The sequence below is a fragment of the Homo sapiens genome, chromosome 9 (genome assembly GCF_000001405.40).
Source record: "Homo sapiens chromosome 9, GRCh38.p14 Primary Assembly".
Classification (NCBI taxonomy): domain Eukaryota; kingdom Metazoa; phylum Chordata; class Mammalia; order Primates; family Hominidae; genus Homo; species Homo sapiens.
The window spans coordinates 93,525,091-93,548,708 of record NC_000009.12 but is presented as its reverse complement, the minus strand read 5'-3'; the positions used below and the strand labels follow the sequence as shown (position 1 = coordinate 93,548,708).

Below are 23,618 nucleotides of genomic sequence, written 5' to 3'. Positions count from 1 at the left end.
GAAGGTCCTCTCCTCCTATTTTTGTCTCAAGAAATTATATACAATGTTCTTTGCCCTGAAGTATCTATGTTTTATATTCCTTTTATTTTAATTTCTTTTTATTTTTTAATTGAGGTAAAATACACAAAAAATTTACCATTTAAGCCATTTTTAAGTGTACAGTTCAGTGGCATTAAGCACATTCACACTGCTGTGCAACCATGACCATCATCCATCCACAGAACTCCTTTCATCTTCCCAGACTGAAACTCTGTTCCCCTTACACAACAACTCCCCAGTCTTCCCTACCTCAGCCCCTAGCTATTGGTTCCTTTTAAAATGTTGTAATCCCAGCACTTTGGGAGGCTGAGGCAGGAGGATCACGAGGTCAGGAGATCAAGACCAACCTGGCTAACATGGTGAAACCCCGTCTCTACTAAAAATACAAAAACAAAAAAATTAGCCGGGCGTGGTGGCGGGCACCTGTAGTCCCAGCTACTTGGAAGGGTGAGGCAGGAGAATGGCGTGAACCCAGGACGGAGCTTGAAGTGAGCCGAGATGGCACCACTGCACTCCAGCCTGGGCAACAGAGCAAGACTCCATCTCAAAAAAAAATTTTTTTTTTTTAATCAGAAAAAGACTGTATTGCAGATACACTGGTTCTCTCAAGATCTTTCCTGGCTTTCCTGGCAGCTAAGACTCTCAGAATTCAACTTCGCCAGGACAGCAAACAATGTTGTTGGTCAGACTATCTGCTATTTCCTCCATCTGGCTTTCTATAACAGAGATAGTGTTTAGACCCTTCTCATCATAGGTCCTCTGAACACCTTGCTGGATACAGAGTATGAATTACTAGGTACATACATACATACATAGATTAAATATCAAAACAGATCCTGGTTAAGAGTCAAGATAAGAGCGGCTGAGAACTTAACTCTTGGTCAGCTTATTTATTTGTGCTAATTCCTACCTGTGCATTTAGAATGTTTTCAGATCCCTTTTACGCTACTAAATCTATCTATGGTATTTCTGGAAATTTTTTCTCTCCATGTTCTTTTCCATGCAATCAAGCAGATTATGAACATGTCACTTAATGTGCTAATATAGACAGCTATAGGGCCTCAGGGAGTTGTCTAACTTCCCACAGCCTTCATTTCCTTACCACAGAAGGGTGGGGGCATTATAAATTGTTCTGGAGCCCTCCTAAGGCTGGCTGACCTTGACCCCATCTCCTCTCACTGCCCTTTACAAGCATGGAAGCTGGGGTAAAGCCAGAGCTCCAAAAGGAGAGAAGCAGGCCTCAGCCAGCATGGGCCACCTGCTGTGTCACCCAGGCTGACCACCAACCACCCGGGTTGCACCTCTAGAGCACACACTGACGGCGCCAGCATTGCTCTGGAGCCTTATGCCCTCCATCCCTGTTACTGTATTTACTGATTTAAGTCAAGTTTTTCTAAAACCTAACCCAGTCTGCATCTTTGTGTCTGCCATATTGCTCCTACAAGAACATAAGCTGCTGCTTTTGGACAAGAGCCTTGTCTATTTTATCCATGCTGCATCCCCAAAAAGACCTGCTCTGCTCTGTGCCCTCAGCCTGCACCCTCACACTGCAGCAACCTCTGCTCAGACTCCATCCCCCGTCTCTGCTATCAGGGATTCTAGAGATTTGACTGATATTCTTCCACTGTCCATCCCCATTGCTGCCATAGTATAGCATTTAAAATATATGTATGCCCAACTCTACCTTAACCAAGTGATCGATGTTAACATCACTAGTAAAAGCAAAAACTAAATTCCCTTAGGGAGCAATGAGAAGACCACCATACCCCTTCTGTGGGGTTCCACCCCAAATGCATCACCTGACTCTAATGGTGAAGAAACATGTGTCCAATAGAAATTGATAATAGTCTATAAAGGAATAAAAAAAACTGTAGCCATGAGCTGGCTACCTGTGTTTGTAAAGAGAAGGTTATTGGAGCATGGCCGTGCCCATTCATTTCTGTCTTGCCGACAGCCATCTCAACAGTGCTGAGGAGATGGCTCAGGTGTTTCTGGGATCACTGCTGAGAAAGGGCCAGCACTCCGCTGCCAGGCCCCAGGCATCGAGAGGAGCAAACAAAAGAGTGGGCTGGGAGACAATGCCACCAGGACCAGCTGCATGCATGGCCTCTTCCCTGTCCGTGCATCTCAGTGCTCACACACAGCAGGCCACGAGGCACCAGCCACAGGAGGGGCAGAGTAAATACACCAGATGGGACGGCATTAAGAGTCTGAGCACAAACTTAAACACGAAGCTGAAACGATGTGACCCTAGCCCCCTATAGTGCAACAGCAGCTCATCCTCTGCCATGGCCGCGGGGCCCCAGAGTGTGTCCTCACTCAGGGTCCCAGTATGTACCTTAGGTCAAGTATATGGTGGCCTGTCAGGTGCTCTGCTAGATTAAAGGCCATGTGTCACACTAAACTTGGAAGAGAAAAATACAAAAAAAGTAATCAAATTCATTATTGCTAATTTGATCTCACAGAATCCAAAGTCTTAAACTTTCTATGAATATAATATTGTTATTAATAAAAACATGTCTTTAATTGAATTTGCTATCAGAGGAAACCAGAAGCCTCTAAAAACAAAAATAAAGAAGGAATTGGCCAGGTGCGGTGGCTCATGTCTGTAATCCCAGCACTTTGGGAGGCCGAGGTGGGTGGATCACCTGAGGTCAGGAGTTCAAGACCAGCCTGACCAACATGGTAAAACTCCATCTCTACGAAAAATACAAAAAATTAGCCGGGCGTGGTGGCGCATGCCTGTAATCCAGCTACTTGGGAGGCTGAGGCAGGAGAATCACTTGAACCCAGGAGGCAGAGGTTGCAGTGAGCCATGATCACACCATTGCACTCCAGCGACAAGAGCAAAAAACTCCGTCTCAAAAAAAAAAAAAAAAAAAAAAAAAAGGAGTCTTTCCCATCAGCCAGTCTTCAATGGAAATCACGTTCAGCTGACACACTGTGATTTAAGTCAATCTCCATTTAATTGAATCTTCCTAAATAAGTTATTGGCCTTAACATTTGTTATAAATTTAAGAACCACCAGGAAATAAAAACAAGAATAAGCTCTGTCCCTCCCTTCCTAAAGTCAGGTAGTTGGGACCCAGTGGGAGGGATGGTCAGTCATGCCTGCAAAAGCGGTGCCAGCCCAGAGGGTGAGACAGGCCCCAAAAGAAACAGGGGCAATAGGGACTGCACCACACAGGGATCCTGACCAAGTAAGGGGCCATGGGGCTTCCCAGCCAAGCCTCTCACTGCCAGAGCCAGAAGCTACGAATGCAGCAGGATGCTAGACCGTACCCTATGAACACAGGGAGGGACACTGGACTGTGCCAGCTTGGAAGGACCAGGGTAAATCCACTGTTTTCAATGAGATATAGGAATACACAACAGCAATGTTGGGGTGGATCCCTCATGCTGCACTGGGAGGGCCAGGGCGGCAAAGTTCCTGCAGCACAGAACCTCCGACTCTGAGAGCCTGGCTTCTAAATGCCATCCCCCACTTGGAAGAACTGGGGCTGCTTGGAGAAATGGGGATCCCAGGGCTGAGGCAGGGAGACACAGGGGCAAGCAGAACATCTGTGGAGAAGAAAGGAGGTGCTCAGAGAAGATGACGAAGGCCAGTTTGCAAGGTGACAAAGGGAACATCAAAACAGATGATGGTGCAGTGAGCTGAAGGCCCCTAGAGAAACAAGAGGCTCTGAGTTCATGCTGATAAAAACGTGCTGCCTGTCTGAGGAGTGAAACCTTTACAGGGCCTCTAAGCACTTCCATGTGAGACGGTTACAAAAGGTGAGAGCAGCACCACACGGAGAAGCCACAGTCACCCTGCACCAAACCCTCTGAGCCAGTGTCCTGCCTAATGGGACAGAAGGAGGTGTGCACCCCCAGGCAGGGCATCACTCCTGAAAGCAGAGACGACCTGGAACAGGAACAGGTTCCTTGTCATAAAGGACACTGTTGGGACAACAAGCCTAACAGCTCTGAAGGGTGGAATGGACCACAGCATCACTGCGGATTGATTTTGATGGTTCTTTGGTGGTTATAAAGTAAAATGCCATCAACTGTTAGAAAATCAGTAAAGTATTTAAGTTAAAAAAAAGGTTTCTGTATTGTACTTGCAACTTTTCTCTATGTTTGAAGTTCTTTTAAAATGAAACCAAACCAAACGAATCAACTCCAAAACCTAATGAACATCCAGTATGTATCCCAACTCAACTGAACTTCAAAACGTCAACAGTATCTACCCATACTGAGCTGTGGGCTGTGAGGGCACAGACACAGAGACATCCCAGCAGCAGGACCACACCAGCACCCAGACCTGGGTTTCCAGACACCTTTTTCACAACAAGGAACAAGGGCTGCTCTTTGGAGAGATGGCTGATGCTGGAGCAGGGAAACACAAAGCGTGCCTGAAGCATCTTGTAGGGCAAAAAAGCAAGGAAGCTCTCCTAAAACAAGAGGATGGTGTGTGTCACACGGGCCAACCTAAGACAGCTCCCAAGGATAAGCCGGGACAATGTGCGTAAGGATAAGGCAGAGCTGGATATAACCTCAAGTGAATTGATTATGACCCTATAAAAAGAGGACAGGAGCCCATACTGATACAAATACGGCATGTGCCACACTAATGTGTTGGTCAACAATGGACCACATATATAATGGCATAAGATTATAATACCATATTTTGACTGTACCTTTTTCACATTTAGATACACAAATACTCGCCGTGTTTGTATATACTCTATGATGTTTTACACAATGACAAAATCACCTAATGATACATTTCTCAAAATGTATCCCCATCATTAAGCAATGTGTGACTGTAAATGATTAAATAAATGAAGGGGGAAGAAGTGGCACATTTTCCCTACAGAAGAACTCCAAATAATATATAACAAGAATCCCCTCTTATAGCCTTCAAAATCTTCAATATTTAAATAATAAACCATGTTTAAAATCATTATATAATATTTACATACCATACATGCTTACAAAATATACCTATAAACATACTGTATCATATAAATTAAAATATATTTTGCATTTACATAACCTACATTTCTATCACATATATAAATATGGGATGACAATAAATTTCAACATGATTGATCAGGAATAAACTTTACATCCTTTCTAGAACTCATCTGACACCATGGTCATGGCCCCTACACCTGGCGGGGACCCAGGTCCCAGCTCCCATGCATGGCACCCACCGTAAGACGCAGCAGAGCACCATGAGGTGAGTGGGCACGTTGGCAGGGTTGAGCATGGCTGGGGTGTCCGACCTCATGCAGGCCAGGAAGGCCCTCATCCTGCGGTTCTTGTCCTCTACCGCCTTACCCAACCACAGCCTCTTCAGGTTGGGGCAGGTCCACTCCCTGAAGGCAAGAGCTTCAACCAGTTCCGGGGTTTGAGGAGACTTTCCTTTGTAAGCTGCCCATTCTTTAATGATCACTGGTGAAACTACAGGAAAAAAAAGCCAGAGAAGACACATTCATGCATCATTCACCTGCTTTCAGTCTTAACAAAAACAAGCAGCTCTAGTAACTGGTCTAAAGATTCGCCTCTCAGGTAACAATGCATTCTCTCCTTAGCAAAACTACCAATCATCAAGTCCTTGTGGGTATTTTGTTTGTCCCTCTATTCTGTGCAATTAATGGCTCATTCAGATTTTCAGTTAGGCCACAAATAAGTTTCATCCAATCAAATCATGACTTGATTTTCTCATATAACTAGTATGCATAAATCAAGATGTTAGACAAAATCCATTTTAATATTTTATATCTACAAATAGTTTTAGTTATAACAGTGTAATTCACGGAAGTATGTGGTTATCTAATTATTTTAACATGCAAAATCCAATTTGGATAGCTAATCCCTTTCTACATGGATAAATACCCTCATAAATTAGATTTGAGAAATAATTTGCATGCAGTAGCCACTTTACTGAACCTCCCACTTCAACAAATGTAACTGTTAAACTCTATTTTTAAGACTGGCCAGTAAAACACAAGTAGATGCAAATATTCCAAGTTTTGAAGTCCCAGATGATGCCAGCACACAGTAATTCTATTCAGCAAGACTTCAGACAGAGTGTAAAGTTATCCAACATTTCGCCTCAAAAAAGACAAGAAGTTCTAAGTTGATGTAACATGGAAACAATACCTTTTATCCACAGATGTTTCACTATTAGTCAATCAATTCTTACAAATACATAAACATGCACATTTTCCCACTTGATTGATTTCCCAATAAATTAAGGAAAAAACAATGACAAGGAAATAAAACAAAAACAATCCATATTGCACAGTAGAATGTTAAAATCTCATCAACTGCACTGAGGTAACAACCCAATAGGGAAATCTGGGTATGCATTTTATAAGTAACAAGTGGTTCACTTTAGTTGAATAAACACCAGAACCAAAGCGGGGCCTGGTGTTGTCCCTTGCCCAGTGCTGCTACACATGAGCAAAGGCACCGTCCCTGGCTGACACACTCCAGTGCACGACCCACTCCAAGGCCAGTGTCTGTACGGAGACCAGGATGCTATCATAAACTCTAATTTGATCTTCAACATATTCATTCTATCCAAATTACATTAATCTCTCTGGGTTTGTCTTCTCTAAAGTAATACCTAAGGCATTCTGAAGAATCCAAAAGCAGGACAGAGTTAAATGTATTACTGGCTGATCTCCAGTTCCACTCTGAGTCTAAATATAGTCAGGCAATACAATAATCTCTTAAAATGTCATGAAAAACACCAGGAGTTAGACACTTGGATACACAGTTTCTCAGCAACAGAAAAAAAATGCTTAAATACATTTCAATACCTGACAAGTCAGGTAACAGTGTCACGTATAGGAACACGTTGAGTCAAGACCTCATAGGGCTCTGTGACAAGCCCTTCTGGAGCCAACTCCAGATAGTGTCCCCTTACGTGAAGCCTGCCGGGCAGAGCTGGGGTACAAGTTAAGGCAGTCACTGAAAATTTTCCTTTTACAAAAATGTTACTGCTCTCATTAGGCAAATGTCTTTCATTTACATTTGAATATCTTAGTGTTTAGATGTTAAAGGAATATTTCAAACACTCCAAATGCTTAAAGTCCATCAAGTCAAAACAGACATACATGTATATATAAATACATGCTTATTTGTTTTTATTCAATACTTTTAGGTATAGATATAAAACCAATAAGGTCTCCATCACGAAGCATATCCTGTCGTTGGACGCACAATCTAAGGCACTGCCCCCACCCCGATCCTGTGGATCTCCAGCACAGCTCAGCTTCCAGAAGCTTTCCCAGAAGTAGACTCGGAACATACAGGATCATCTCCACAACCACCACTACCATGCACAGGCCTTCCTGTGAGCCGACCTGCCTTCCCTCCTGTGATCCAACACCAAGGCTGCTCCACCCCAAGAGAAAACAGGCAAGGGGAGCTTCCAGAATGAGCTGTTCGCCAATATGCTATGTTGCTATCAGATTACTCTACATAACCACACCTCGCAAACACATAGGACACACACATCACACATTTCATACCATGCACACATCACATATTTCACACAACATATCCCCCAACAAACCCCACCACACACACCCCCCACCACACACATACCACAATACACACACTGAAACATACCCCACACACAGAGCATGGGTTTAGGTTGTGCATGTCAGGAGTCCCCTAGGGGTTATAAAGAGAGGCATTCTTACTAAATTGGCCTTTAACTTTTTCATTTTTTTCTTTCCCTTTCATCGGCTCTGTTCTCGCCTCTCTTTAATCATTTTAGCAATCATTCATGTTTTGTTTTCATTCTATAAAAAAAAATTATTGGTAGAAGATTTTCCTTCTCAATTTCAAAACCTTTAGGCCTCTGCAGAGTTCGTCCTGCAAGGCCCTAGATTGCAGAGTGAAGAGGAGGTCACAGGCACTAGTCCTAATGCATGGTATCCTCAGAAATATGCACTCCAGCTGCAGGCTCCGACAACTCTCCACATTAGAGCTCAGAGGGCCTCCCGTGTACCTGAATGAGCCTGGCCTGGTGCTGTGTCTCCAGACTCGACACAGCCCAGAAAGAAACAGGTGAACACACTCCTGAGAGCCGAAACTGGACTCTTGCTGATGGACTCATGGCAATACTCCAGCCAAAGGCTGCTCCGAGTCCTAGAAGGGCTCGGAACTGTCCTGGGTAAGCCTGTCGACACAGTAGGGACAGAGAGGGGTTAGTGTCCTCTTTCACAGCACTAAGCATGTTGTTGCCCACATGCAACAGTTATGACAAGAACAGCAAGTCCAATTCAGGAAATACATGTCTTTATCAAAGAAAATAGATGTGACTGACACAAAGGCTTGCTCCAGAAGCAAAGGCGCTCATCTCTAATAGTTAGAGATCTTTTGAGTATTCCACCAGAGAATAGAGGTGGAACCTTAGGCCAATCAGTTAATAAGTATTTATGGAACATCTACTGTGTGCCAGGTAGGGCTGGGATAAGAGGGAAGCAGGCAATCTGCACAGGCATGTGCCTGAGAGGGAGGGTCTCCTTGGGTTCTCAGACCTGGGCCTAGATCCAGGGACTAAGATGAGAGGTGACACCTAACTTTGCAACACAGTCCTGATGATTAAACATGAAAAGCACCTAGCACCCCTCATTATGTAGAGATAATGAGATGAACTCACATTTTACACATCACTTACATTAAATTAATTACAAATTAGTGCTTATGAAGAATTCCAAGGGACATCCAATTTTCGGGTTGAAACAGCTGCCTCAAGAGTGGAAGAAGTTGAGGAAAGAAAAATGCTTGGCTCTGATTTACAAGTCCCCTGCAAAGGGGCAGCTGGAGGGTAGCCTCTAGAGATGAGAATGTCTGCTGCTCTTCTCTCTCTGGGCTGCTGCTTTCTTCCAAAGAGTCACTGTTGCCCAGGAGGAAGGACTTCTCAGCCCTCACGGTATTATTCAATCCACAGGAAATAAGCAAATACAAAGTAGCCAGCTCACAGAAAGTAATCTGAGTTTTTACAGAAACCTGGGGGTATGTGGGCTTGCCCATGGCACTGGGCTCCAGCACATCCTGGGTGGGTACCATCTGGGACTTAGAGCATGGTAGTATAAAAATGAACTCCGTACTGGTAGTTTTGAAGAGCAACATGTTCCTACTGAGTCTTATTAAAACAGTAAGAGATTCCTGGAGGTCAGCTCATCTAACTGAAAACCTCTGAATAAATCTTGTGTATCACCACCAACAAATATTAATCTCTTTTCACTGTCAGAAAAAGTTACTACTTCAGGAAGTAGCCTACTTCTGAAAGACTGAATATTAAACTGTCTTCCTTAACTTACACTAAACCAACTTTTTACACTGGCAAAAACAACTCTAGGGCGGCCAGGCGCGGTGGCTCACGCCTGTAATCCCAGCACTTTGGGAGGTCGAGGTGGGCGGATCACGAGGTCAGGAGATCGAGACCATCCTGGCTGACACGGTGAAACCCCGTCTCTACTAAAAATACAAAAAATTAGCCAGGCATGGTGGCAGGTGCCTGCAGTCCCAGCTACTGGGGAGGCTGAGGCAGGAGAATGGTGCCAACCCAGGAGGCGGAGCTTGCAGTGAGCCGAGATTGCGCCACTCCACTCCAGCCTGGGCGACAGAGTGAGACTCCGTCTCAAAAAAAAAAAAACAACTCTAGGGCTGACATGTTACTGGAGGCTAAATTTATAACGCATTTTCCTTACAGAAAGCACCCCTTCAAAATACAATTTGGGGCCATAAAATACTATCGTACTTAAGCTGTCAGTAAAAAAACTCAATGTTTTCCATCAGGTGTTAGTCATCTTCTTTTAGTAGCACATTTAACATGACAACTAAGCCACCTTGGAAATCTGTTATAATGCTGACTTTGGGATCTATCCTAGCCCAGGAATAATATACATGGTTCATTTTGTAAGCCAATCCCAACTTGCTGGAGTGGCCACCTGTAAGACCGTATTATAAAGTATGTCTCTAAGCTCAGTGCCACAGCTTGACCATTAATTAGCAATGCCCACTAAGGGCGCAGGAGAGAGAACTGCAGTATGCATGCACGCCTGTTCATAGGTGAGGAAGAGATGCGGGCAGATGAATGGCCTCCAAGATGGTGGCCGACTAGACTTCTGGTTGTGTGTATTTAGGGAGCAGCTACTATTATACTTGACGAGCTTTCCTGGGGTTGTTATGACCATAAACAACAACAAAAACCTCCAATTCATTTATATCAGGAGAGAAACAGAAAAATGGATACAACGAAGACTGTTTTTTTTCCTTCTGATAGAAAAACTGCCCCCTAATTTTTAAGCAGCCCCAGCGTGTAGGTAGCAGGTTGGGTTCTTCTCCTCAGGCTGATACGTCTGTAAGCACCCTCTGTAATTCTCAAAGGTAAAAGGCTGTGGATATTTTCTTAAAACTTTGATAGTTGAGGATGGAGCAGCCCACAGTCCACAAAAATATAAATGCTTAGTAAGGCACAGGACATGTAGCAGAACACAGTATTACAGACATGTAGATAAATGCTGTTCATATTCCTCATTCCATGTATGTTATTCCTAATATATTAGAAACTCAAAAGCTCAAGGATTGGCAAGTAACACTGGTTAAAAAAAAAAAAGAGTACAAGGACTTATGAAATGAATATTAATCCAAAAGAGTAATATCACAGATTGGCCTGTCATATCATTTGCCTTCCTAAGCAATCATCTGTTGTGCTAGGTCTACTCAAAGTTCTGTGAAAAAAACCTCAATGCTGCTCCTAGAAAGCTCTGTAGAATAAAGAAATTCAGACAGACTTATTAACAGAAATCATGGGGAAAATGTTTACAATACCAATTTTCACAATATTAAATCAGCACCATAATATTGATTATTCTGTTTCATAGTATAATCCACAGTGAGCAGACTTAGTTTACTTTTTATTAGCAATTCCAATTATTAGCACAAATAAAAACATTTCTGAAGCAAACTATACCAGGAAAAAATGCTCCTTTCGGCTTTTCTTGGTGGTTTAAAAATACAGGAATCAATATAGGAAAATCTTTCATAAAAATAGTACTCACCTATAAACTTGCTCCCTCATTCCACATATTTATTTCATGTGTGTATAATTTTTATCTGTCTGCTTCTTATAAGCCTGTTTCTCTTATTTACTTAATTTTGAGGTATTAGGGAAGACTTTTGTAGGAAATGGGAGGCAAGAAACAAAAGCCAATTTTATTAAGATGACGTTAATTTTAAAAATGTGCGAATCACTGAGCTTTACTTTCTGAACTTTGCGCTCTTCAATTATAGCTGGGTATTCTTATTACTCTACAATCTTTTAAAATGTAGGCCTTTTACTCTGTCTCATTTGCCCTCAAACCACTGCAGCCTCTCCCACTGACCCCTGGAAAGAAAGAACCCCAGTGACTGGGAGCGACCAAGAGGCACCCTGAAGGAGGAAAAGCCATTGAGGCATGTAACCACCTCCACCACAGGAACGAGTAGAAGAAACTCGCCACAGCATCTGTATTTTTGCAAGGTGCAGGCTTCAAAGCCAGGAGTTCTTGCGTCAGACCCCGGACTCATCTCGAGGCCCAACCTTTATTCCAGCATCAACAGAAAAGGTCTCTGGGTTCCACCCTCCCTACCAGCAGGTGCCACTATCACCGTGGATCACGTCTGCAGGAATCTGCATGCCCCTGGGTGTTACTAGTTCTCTTCTACGTGCACCACTGGGAGGGCTTAGAATTTCAAGGCATATACTGCCATGATAAGCAAATATTCTTCTGAATTTCCTAAAAGTGAAATTATAGAACTTAGGGATGGAAAGAAAGGCGTGGAAAATAAACTGCCAGCACAGAATACAACGTGACTTTCAAAAGAATTTTTTTTCTTTTTCTTTTTTTGCTATCACCTAGTTCAGGAGCAGAAGGGTTAGAAATTTTTAAAGGTCTCATATCCTACTTTCGCCATATAGTGACTATAAAAATGAAAGTTTGGTAAATCACAGGAAAGCTAGCTGTAAATTATGAACACTTGACCATATGCCTTAATCACTGACTAGGTTTCCAAATGAATATACATGTCTTAAATCTGCTGAGAGTTAAATATTTTTAAGAAACCCTTAAGACTTCAACATGCTTGCCTTTTGAATAGTTCTGTCTGATAATAAGGCCATCTTGGGACATTCTTTATTGTTACAGTGACCATTAACAGGAATATATAGCTGCGCAGATAAGGTTCTGAAGCTATTTTAGGTCACAGATTTTCCATTCAGAAAGGCCACACCAGCTGCTGGAGCAGCAGGCTCTCACTGGAGCCCATATGCAGAGGGCTGGGTTGCCAGATCACATCAGAAAGCCAAGGAAGCAGGGTCGGAGGAGAACGATCCTTCACAGGGACATGGCCTCCCAGGACTCTTTCTTTGGCTTATGGATCTTCTTCCAGTACGCCAATAATTTCATTCAACCTCCATGTGGTCCAAGAGTGGCCATAGATTAGACAGCAAATTTCAACAAGATCTAAATACAATCATTGTTCCATCTTCTCAATCAAGAACTCCTGAGAAACTTTTCAATGTCAGCTTCATTGTGGCACAATGAGACATTTTCCTATCCTATTTAGTGTCAAGAAGCTATAGCACTCTCCTTAGTACAAATATGTGTTACCAATTAATAGATATTTCAAGTAATGAAGTTTAAATCAATGGCCTGAGCAGGGTCAGTATTTAGTCAGCTAAAATCTAATAAACAGGTTATATGGAAGGCATTTTAATGCATGCAATGTTCATGAACACAGATCACACTGTGCACATTACTCAATTCTCAAACAAGGTTGGTTTTGAGCAAGTTGAGAGCATTGAGACTTAACAATCACAAGATATTCTCAAAACAAAAATTTCCCTTCTGGAGAGCTGGTGTTCCAATTACAGTGATAATCATGGATATATCACTGACATAAAAAACTTTTTTATAGGCTTGTTTCCCCCTCTTGAATGTAACTAACGCATGAAACAAGTTCAATTTTATCAGCTCCCTATAAAGACCTAGATTCTAAAGCTGCTTACAAAAATCTCACCCACTGAAATTACAGTACTGAGTAAGGTCTCCCAAATTCTAAACTCAGGTCAAATCTACACATCTTTTCCATTCAGAAATAAATATGTATTTGTCATAGCACATTAACAATGCATTTTTCTAAACACTTAAATTCTAGGGTCTTAACTGTCTAGGCAAAGGTCATCTGCACCTGCCCTATCTTTGACACGTAAAGGCTTCATTTCTGTTTTGGTTCAGTCCATACATCGCTATCCAACTCATCTTTCTAAACAGAAACATCATTTGTACCAAACCTTCAATGGCTCCCCATCTCTACAGAATATCAAAATCAAAGTTCATAAATCACTTGAGCAGAAAAGACTGCAATTTGTTTAGCACTGACCTTTCAAAGCATCTCAGCACTTACGCACACCCTCACACAACAAAGTTTAATTTTCTGACGCACCAAACCGGGTCTTCATCTCCAATAAGTTGTGTGTACCTAAACCAATTATTCATTCTTTCACTGCCTGCTGCACACTGCTCTAAGGGTAATACACACAATAGCAAAAGACATAAATGTTTATGAAATCCTTTTAAAATCTCATTTACCATTGAAGAAGTACTAAACTACCATTGGCAAAGAAGTACTAAACTACAGTGCAGAAAATACCCATGCTCCATGATCAACTAATAAGTGCAGCTGGCTGGGCCTCTGTCCTTTTCCTCAGTGCTAGTTGACTCCCTTTCCCAAACCAAATCTGAGGTATCCTTACCCCCAATCCTTCCTGCCTTCACCAACAAAGATGGCCCCAAAGTATGGACTTCTGCCTCTGCTTCTCCTTCCCACCTAAGTCTACTAATACAAACTCTTTATCAGGACTGTCTAATTTTTTCCTATTCTCTCTGATAAACTCACCTCTCCCCCACTAAATCCTCCCCATTGGCCAAAAAAATAACATAACAATAACCAAACTATTCAGTCTCCCATCCTTAAAAAGAAGGAGAAGAGGAGAGGAGGGAAGGGAGTTCCTGTAAGTTCTCACTTTGAAGATACGGCGTTCCCTTGTCCATCTCAGCCATGTCTCAAGAGAAGACCCAGTGCCACCTGCTGCCACCATCCTGTTTTGTGTTCTCCTGTGTCCCTTTCCTCCTCCACCTACATCAATGGCACCCCCATTCACTTGAGTCATTTCACACTTCCCCAACCCTTCTTGTCTTTTCTTCCTTTGGAAGAAAAGGAGCCACAGGATGGCTCCATTCCTGTGACCTCTGATTCCAGCTGGAGTTGGTGTGCTCAGAGAAGGTCGGGGCAGTCTGACACCATGAAAGCTGTGGCCTGCCCTGGCTTCCACAATCCCCACCTCCCCTCCTGTCCCCCACCACCTACGTGCTCTGCATATTCTGGCCCTTCTGAGAGCCTTCTCTACTGTGCATTAACAGGACAGCCTCTCCCAGGCCCAGACGGAGACCTCCCAACCTAGACCAAGACAGCTGATGGGGAGCTAGCATGAGAAGCACCATCAGCCGTGCGTGCTGCAGACATGCAGCAGGCACGAGGTCAAGACTCCACTTCCTGGGCGTGTTTGGTACTGCAGCACACCAATGATGCCGAATGGCCCAACACTGGAGGGGTAGGGGACTGTCACATCTGACTCCACGGGACAGCACAGAAGCCACAAAGCCTGTTCCTATTCAACCTGAGGTGATCATTGGAAATGCCTGAAGGAGTTTGCTATGTAAAGGTAACTCTGTTTTTAGAACACACAAGCAAATAAAAAAGAATACCTTCTACCATGAAGCCACTGCAGTGCGCTGAAACTGAGGACAAAGGAGCTGCAACACCCAGGATGTCACAGGATTTGGGACTAGACAGAGCCTGCAACACAAGCAGGCTAAGCCCAGGAGAGAGGAACAACTGAAAAAAGGGGGTCTGAGGGCCTGGTCAGCCTGCAGAAGTGAAGGGTAGAGACAGGCCAGGACAAGTGACCAGCCATGTGCAAAGTAAGAAATGTCATTCTTTTGAGAGCAAATGGATCACACAATGTGAGAAAAGAATGAAAACAGGTACATTGAAGAATGTCCTGAACCTTTGAGAAGAATGTCATTTACAATGTTCATTGTTCCACATGGTATCTCCAACCACTGAAGACACAGAGGGTGGAGATGCTCACAGCCCTGCAGAGCGAGCATCACCTCCTGCCAGTGACAGTCACACCAGCAGCTCAGCAATCACTCTCAGGACAACTATCACCAAGGAAAGGTAGTGAGAACTGCTTCACTTTAAAGCCTTACAGATTGCAAGTTTGTCATAGTAATTGCAAACAGAAATATTTTAAATCTAATGAACTTAGGTTAAAGTTCCAAAGCTCAGCACTGCACACAGTCAGTGCTGACAAGGAGCTTCACCATCTCAGGAGGACTGCATTGACCCACCACACAAACAAATAGTCTGTAACTAATTATCCATGGCTCAAAGAATGATCTAGTAATTTACAATTTCCACAATTCATAATATTCTCAGACTGTATGTTTGAGGATTCTTTTCTGTATTTCCAACTAAATATACAGTTACTTTTACATTCCTTACATTAGGAGATAAAATTACCTAGAACAGAAAGGCATCATTTTCTCCAAGTATTACACAGGCCCACTAGAAGATAAAGAAAAATGCTTTGACCTCATCTTTGACCAACTTTTCAAACAATCCTTTTCAGTGTTTCCACCTGCACCCCCCACTCCCAGAGTTGATCAGCTGGAAGTGCACAGGTCTCAGAGGATTCCGAGACAAATCATCACAATCCTGCGACGATCCGTGAGTCCCACGACCTTCGCTACAGCTGCAGAGCCATGCGTGGTGGCACTCCAACAGCACAAACATGGCCAACCAGAGACCTGCTGGAAGTTTTCTCCAGGACCCTGGCCTTCTGGAGAGAGCAGATCTGTGCTTCATGAAAACCAGAGCACAGAAACTCACTCGTCCTGATTACCAAGACGTGGTAATTACAGAGAGTGGCGGCAATTCAAGTCTGCTTTCAGATCAACATTCACTTTAAAGTGTAAACCTGTTTTATTATTTTACTGAATAAACATCATTATTGGAATGTTACTGAGGAAGAAAGTCTGTGGCTTCTCCTCCTTTTCTAAGAGCCTTTACCCTGGCCTACTGCCCCGATGATGGGCCCACCTCCTTTACACAGAGGCACTCGGGGTCAACTCAGTCATGATTCTTCTAAGGCTTTAGAAAATGCACAAGAGATTACGAGGTACCGAGGAAAACAAACAATGGATTGTTACAGTACATACATTCTGGTGGAAGTCTGTTCTTTCTAAAAGCAAGTCTCTCAGTTTTCTTTCTGCTTTCTGCCAAACTAAACAGGACTCCGTAAACATACTGACGAACTGGCCTATAGAGCAGAGCGGCCGGAGGCAGGTCCTTGTTGGCTTCATCTTCAATAGAAACAGCAATTTTGATTTCACCCTTTGCATGGAAGAAAGCAGAATAACATTGCACATTTTTCATGTTGAATTTACAATACACTCACAGAAATATACTGTATTATCTCCAGTTAATGACATTGCAATTCCATTCCAAATCAACTGCTTAACAACTTGCCTAAATAAAGATGTTTAGGAAGAGTTCATTTGGCAGGCTGTGGCCAAAGCATATGCTCAAAGAATCAAAATAAAATCTACATCATTTTATGTTTAATCCAAAACCAAGAACAAAAGAAAACCATGTAGATGTTCCAAAGTCTTTGAAACAATCCAGACAGATAACATCAGACAAGAAACAGAATAGAAAAGACTGAGAACTCGCAACTTTTATTTAGAGAGTTGGGATGGTCACATGCAATATAATTGAAAATTTTCAATTACCTACATGCAAACTAAAGAACTGAGTATCCTGAAAATATAATGGTCAAATTTTCTTTGCTAAGTTCTTCCATGGCAAATTACCACCTCGTGTGTTAGGCTTCTGCCATAGTGTGGCAGGTGCTCAAGAAATGTGTCTCAGTACAGTGGCTAGGACATGCATAGCCACTAGGGCAGAAACCAAAAGCACTCCACCTTTTTCATGTCCCAGGGCCAATACGGCAAGAACTGCATCTGACTCAAGAACGTGCTGCCAAGAGACAAATGACTGACTGTGGCCTTTGGCAGCTAAGATTGTTGCCAAAATTAATCTGTCTCAGGGATCTTACAGCATCAAGATACATCTCAAGATATCATGCAACAAATTTTATTTAATTATACTCAGAGCACAACAATGCATTTATGACCTCAATGTCTATGAAGTTCATTGATATATATGCTTTAAATAATAATTTTGTAATATTTGCTGTTTCTTTCATTCACATAAGTTTAATTTAAAAACTGGTCTTTCCCCTTACCCTCCATACTTTCATATTCATTAATCCAGTAGCTACATGTGTTCTAACACTCTCATCTAGGGAATATTTATCTCAATAATATGATGCTTTGCAAATTCTCTTCATTACCATAAAGATGCATCTCACTGTAAATGTCTTAGCCTGGGCAATTAATACCAGAGCCATTCAGCTTATAGGATAAACTGAAAAAACTTAAGTAGCATTTTAAAATGTGAAAAGACAATTTTCTCAACCATGGTCATTTTATCAGTATTTGCCCTTGAAATTCATAAGAAATAAGAAAGCATGTCGGTACAATTTGCAACCCTCATATAGATCTAACCGACTATCCACGCATCAGATCCAGCAGTGTGGACATAACAGGTAGCTCCTGGGGACCTTACATTTCAAACAGCCCCACGAGGAATGAGTGTTGTTTCTTCACACCTTATTTTGAAAGATGTCTTCCCAAAACTTTGGTTCCTTAAACTTAGCAAAATGTTTTCCCCACAACAATTACTTTTCACTTACCCTTTATAATTTATGTTGAACCTGAAAAATAAAATGTTCACCTTACAACCATAATCTGAAAAGTGATACTATAAATGCATACCCATATCAAATAATAGATGAGATTTGGAGGCATTACAACTAAAAAATAAATTAAAGGATCTGAGCAAATAGTACTGGCTACATGTTTTCCATGTCCTTTAATTAATAAAAGTAAGCAATATTTGGATTAGTCAGTTAACAGTTGAAGTCCACCTCAGGAGTATTTGAGAACAGGAGTTCATTATTGCATTTATTGACTCCATTTTACAAACCACAGATGGGTTGTAGAGAATAGACAGAAAAGTCTGGTTATATATGGTCATATAGGTATTCATGTTAATAATACATGATAGCAATAAACCAGTTCTGCAGGATTAATCTAGTAACTGAGGTAACTTGTTAAATTGTGGGGCTAAGATTAAAAGTGCCAACATAAAGACTACAAATCACTGAGGAAATTTAAATACACATAGATACATTTGAGACACCAAGATTAAAAAATAATTGATGCCACACTATATGTATATATTTAAGCATACATTAAGACACTAATAAAGTGAAATTATGACACTGTATAAAATGATAGTTTCATTTTCTGACTATGCGTATGTTAACAAAATCCTGTATTATATTTTTTGTTCTTAGCACTATTAAAACTGCACTCAATGAGGTCATGAACAAGTCAAAACACATGAAGCACTATGAGCCATTCAAAGGGGGAAACATTATTTTCTAAGCACAAATGATAAAGGAACCAGATATTGTATCTGACATCAGAATTAAACCTGACATTACAGCACAAATATGGTTTAAGAAAATTCTGAAATTGAAGTAAAAAGAATAAAATTACAAGTCATAAAATAATGTGATGCATTATTTCATTAGAAGTATAAAATATTCTATACTAAGTTGAAGGAAAAAAGTGAGACTTTTCACGAGTTATTTTAAAACTATTTACAGTTATAAATGTTCATCTTTCATTCAATGTTTAGAAAGGGGAAAGTGAACTTTGTTTCAAGTAGATTAGTAAGACAGAAAAATGGTTCAAAAAAGGACAAAAGGACAAAACACCCATAGGAATGGCCACTCATCAAATAACAGAAGCCACTCCAGGGCCCCTTTGATAATACCTTCGTCAGGACATGGAAGATGTAGGGGTACATCAGCCCCTTCTTGTGCCTGTGCTCGGCCACTCTCAGCACCTCAGGTGCGACGGGGGGCAGGGGAGGTGTGGTGATGTCCATGTGGTTCCTGGTGGGCATCGACAGGAGGCACGGGATTGGCTGGACAGTGCCCATCTGGCTTCCCTTGCCTTCGGCTAGTTGGCTTCCTGAAGAGGCAGTGGACGAGCCTTCTGCCTACAGTGCAGAGAGCAGAAGGGAGGAAAACGAGTGTATGTCATGTTTTCATTCATTTAAAGTATGGTAGGTGCCTGTTCACCTGACAGACACGGAGGGGACAAAGATGAGTCCTGTCTTAGAGAGACCAGATTTGGTGCCACCCTAAAGACAGAGGAAACAGAGAGCACTCTGATCCAGTCCTCTCCTTGAACAGCTTCCCACACTGAAACAGCATCAACATCTACTGTGCCACAGGAGAGCGGGCCTGTTGCTCCCTGCTGTTCTGTGTCACCCTGCAGTCCCTCTGCAGATACGGCAGGGTGCTGGGAGGCAGGAGCCTTGCTATCTTGTTTGGCTCTCACTTGTCCATCATCCATGTGGTCCATTCCTGTGTTTCTGTTTTCTCGAGACTTTGCCTAAGATCTCTACACAAACAGGAAAACTAACACTCCAAGAGGCTGTGCAGTCTGAACACAGTTACACAACCCTAACACATAGAAATGGAATTCTAATCCAGGGCTGACTCCATGCCACAGCTGGTACTTAAAGAACAAACAAAAACCCAAACTCAAGCATTCTCTGTAGTCATTATAAAGCCCTAAGTTAATTATACACAAGCAAAAATTAAACCAAAAGCCCCAAAAACCTGCTAAGCCACAGCATAATCCCATTAAAAACAATGTCTCAGATCTATGGATAATGACATAGAAAGAGGTCCATGATACACTGTTTGGTGAAAACACCCATTCTGTAACAACTAAGCCCCCAAACATGGAGTGTATGGACATACACAGGAAAGAGTCTGGTCCCCAGATTATTACCACAGTGATGGACTGCTGCGAGGCAGTAGAACTAAGGAAAGGAAAAAGGAAGGAGACACTTTAGCAGTCTGAATTGTCTGAATAGTTGCCTAAGAGCAATGATTATTTGTATAATAAACTTTATCAGAATAATGTTGAAAATAAGAACTGCTTATTGATTGATTTAATGCCACCCTAAAGACATATACATTTTTCTGTTTTGAAACAAAGTATACTCTTTACAATGGTGTGTAATTAAGTCCTTAATTTTATTTTTTAAAACACAAAGTGCCAAAATTAGTCTTAAGAAGAATAACTCATAGATAATTCACTGGTGTTTTCTACACTTTCCATTCCATAAGAATACAGATGTAGAACAACTCAAAATGCTTTGGAAGGTGCTTTGAAAATAATATGTATCCACAAAGGATTTTTGTTGCTTATTTGCAGAACAATCATTTAATAGTATGACTTCTTTAGACAAACGTCTGATATTCAGGCAACCCTGCATATTAACCACCAAAACCTTCAGGCAGGAAACCGGCTCCTTCTTGGTAATCACATGTGGCAGACGTACATGGCTTTGCAAATTAAAAAGATATTTTTAGATATCACTATTAACAGGTAGAAGTAGAAGAAAAGCAGGGAGACAGGGCGTGGTGGCTCACGTCTATAATCCCAGCACTTTGGGAGGCTGAGGAGGGCAGATCACTTGAGGTCAAGGGTTCGAGACTAGCCTGGCCATCATGGCGACACCCCGTCTCTACTAAAAATACAAAAATTAGCCAGGCATGGTAGTGCACGCCTATAATCTCAGCTACCAGGGAGGCTGAGCCAGGAGAATTGCTTGAACCCAGGGGGCAGAGGTTTCAGTGAGCTGAGATCACGCCACTGTACTCCAGCCTGGGTGACAGAGCAAGACTCCATCTCAAAAAAAAAAAAAAAAAAAAAAAAAATTAAATACAAAAATTTTTTTAAAAAGATAAAGAAAAAAGGGGGGTGGGGGAGTTAAATTTAGCATCCCCGGTGCCTTTTCAGTGAATTTTCACAAAAACCTACAACAAATGTGGGCTCAGGAAGGTCCTAAGCACCTTGTCCAAGATGACACAGTGAGCAAACAAGGAAATGCATCAGGTGCCTGCCATGCAGAAAGACTAGCCGGCTTGGGCATAGCTCTGAACTCTTCCTTTCCCGCTTATCCCCTTTGTAAAGGTTTACATGACCCGATTAAAAGAGAGAGATATTATTTTTCACTATTTGATCACTAATACAGTGTGCTAATACAAAATGAGTCAGAACTCAAAAACTAAAAGGCATAGACTTTCTACCTTTGTTTGGTCTCCTGGGTCTCCTCGTGCCTGAGGCTCTGAGTGGCTTCCCGTCTTCTCCCAGCCAATCTTGTTCCCGCTGATATGGCTAAACATAAAATGAACATGATTACTGTCCAATCACTTTCACAAACCAGCTGACAATGATAAGAAGGGCCTCAGCTAAGTCTTCAGGCTCATAATAACAATACTTTTAAAATAAACACAACATCGAGAAATAACTCTATTATACTAATATTTCTTCCTGCTTCAAAAGGGTAGGTGATAACCACATACTATGGAAAAGAAACTATCGAACACCTAACTTAGAGGAGTCACCAGGCAGTTCAGAGATGGTCTGTGATTTGCTTAGCGCTATAGAGGATGCAGAGGAAACAAAGGCAAGCCTTGCCTTGGAGGATCTTTCCATCGTCACAGCAAGACAAAGATCAGCATTTAATTGGCAATTATGAGGTAGTAGAAGACTTAAATGTTATCTGGATCGAATACTACACATAAGTTATAAATAAATGTAAGGCGACAATACACCACACAGGGCGCTCCAGCCTATTCATGTGGAGGGGGCATTAGAGCTAACACTGGAGGTGACTCGAACTGGAAAATCTGAAAGACAGGGAAGGTACACTCTAGGCAAAGCGAGATGGCACAAACTTGGTGGGTTCACAGAACAGGGAGTTCATGGGAACTTATTTGGAGGATGGCTTTATTTAACAAAGTAGTGAAAAAAAAAAGGGGATAAGGAAAAAGAGATGAGAAGATCAAAGAGCATCTCAAATTACAGAATGAGAGGTAACTGTGCTGTTACCCATTAACAGTCTGGGAATACAATTTCGTGGGTTTAATGAGCATTTAAAAAAACTGAAACAGGACAGACCAGAATGCATGGTGTGAATAAGCATTATTTCCTAAAGTCTTTGTTCACTTGTAGTATATGGGTTTACCATAGTCCTCAGGCGAATGTGAAATGCACTGTCTACAGGTAGCAGAGGATGTGCAGGGGCTTGAGCAGGGCCAGCAGGATGCAGCACCACACTGGAACCTCAGTGCACAGTGTGACCCTGAGGCAGGGATGGCTGTGGTGCTCCGTGCACTCACCCTTCGACTATAAGGTTCCATGCCCAAACTACCTTCTGAAAACCAGTGCTGGCCATAGGACATGCCAGCATGGGTCAACTGGCCTGCCTTTGTAACTGACTCACATGACAGATGGAGAGGTTTTAAGACCAGATAATTCTCCTATCTTCCAATCAACTTCATTATAGTTCTGTCTTTTAAAAAAAGGGGGAAAAAAAGCTGCAAAAAGATTCTGCTGTCACACAATGGACTGTCCAGCCAAGGATACTGCATGCACGCCATGAAAAGTTCACCCACCCTGTTCAGGTTTCCCGGTCTTCATGGAGCTTGGAGAAACCACTGCTCATGCACAATCTCTGCCTGCAACTTAACAAAACTAGAGGAAACCCCAGCAGTGGCTCAGACACGTCAAAAACCATTGCAGGCATCCCCAGAGTGTAGTGGTCTGTCCCACTGAGAAAGCAGCCACTGAGGGCGCATTGTGAGCAGACAATGGATAGCGGCTCAGGAGGTGGATGAGCATGTGCTGATAGAGATGCATGAGTCAGCAAGCTGGGAGACGCAGGGGGCAAAAAATTACTAAATCCTGGCCTAGAAGTACATGGCAACATTGGCACAACTCTTGCTTATCTTCCATAGCATGTAAAGAACAATAAGTGTTCTCAAACTGTTGTTAAGCTTAAAGGCTCATGTGGAATGCTTATTAACCACGCAGACCCACAAGCACCCATCCCCAGGGTATCTGTCCCTAGAGTGTCTGGGGCTCTTGGAGGGTAAGAGGATCTAGAGGATCATGCACCTAGGATGGTGGGGCAGGGGAGGCCAAGTGTTAGGAAAGTGCCAAGCAAGGAGGGGACACACCTGTCTACTAAAACTGGAGAGCCGAGGCACCATGCCAGCGCCACCTGAGATCACACAGACCCTACACTTGCAAGCCTTAGTGTTGTTCTATGTAGATTATCAATCTAAAAATAAATGTCATAATCTGGATGCCCATATAACCTTCTAACAATCATACTGTAAAATCTAAAATTCTGCCTGAAAAGCATCTTGACAAGAAACAGTTTTTGAGAAGGCC

General features: G+C 42.3%; 1 protein-coding gene across 15 annotated transcripts in view; it reads right to left on the bottom strand.

Moving 5' to 3' along the window:
* Positions 1-23,618, bottom strand: part of FAM120A (family with sequence similarity 120 member A) — a 114,428-nt gene that overhangs the window by 17,404 nt on the left and 73,406 nt on the right. For 13 of the 15 annotated variants that reach the window (NM_001439102.1, XM_011518413.3, NM_001439104.1 and 10 more), the window contains 4 exons: positions 21,467-21,554; positions 19,129-19,356; positions 16,380-16,554; positions 5,238-5,487 (listed from right to left, as the gene is read on the bottom strand). In NM_001439102.1, coding sequence (NP_001426031.1) covers positions 5,238-5,487; positions 16,380-16,554; positions 19,129-19,356; positions 21,467-21,554 — 741 coding nt within the window. Of the gene's footprint in view, positions 1-5,237; positions 5,488-16,119; positions 16,555-17,300; positions 19,357-21,466; positions 21,555-23,618 lie in introns of those variants that run through there. The other 2 variants (NM_001286723.2, NM_001286724.2) reach the window with 2 other exon arrangements.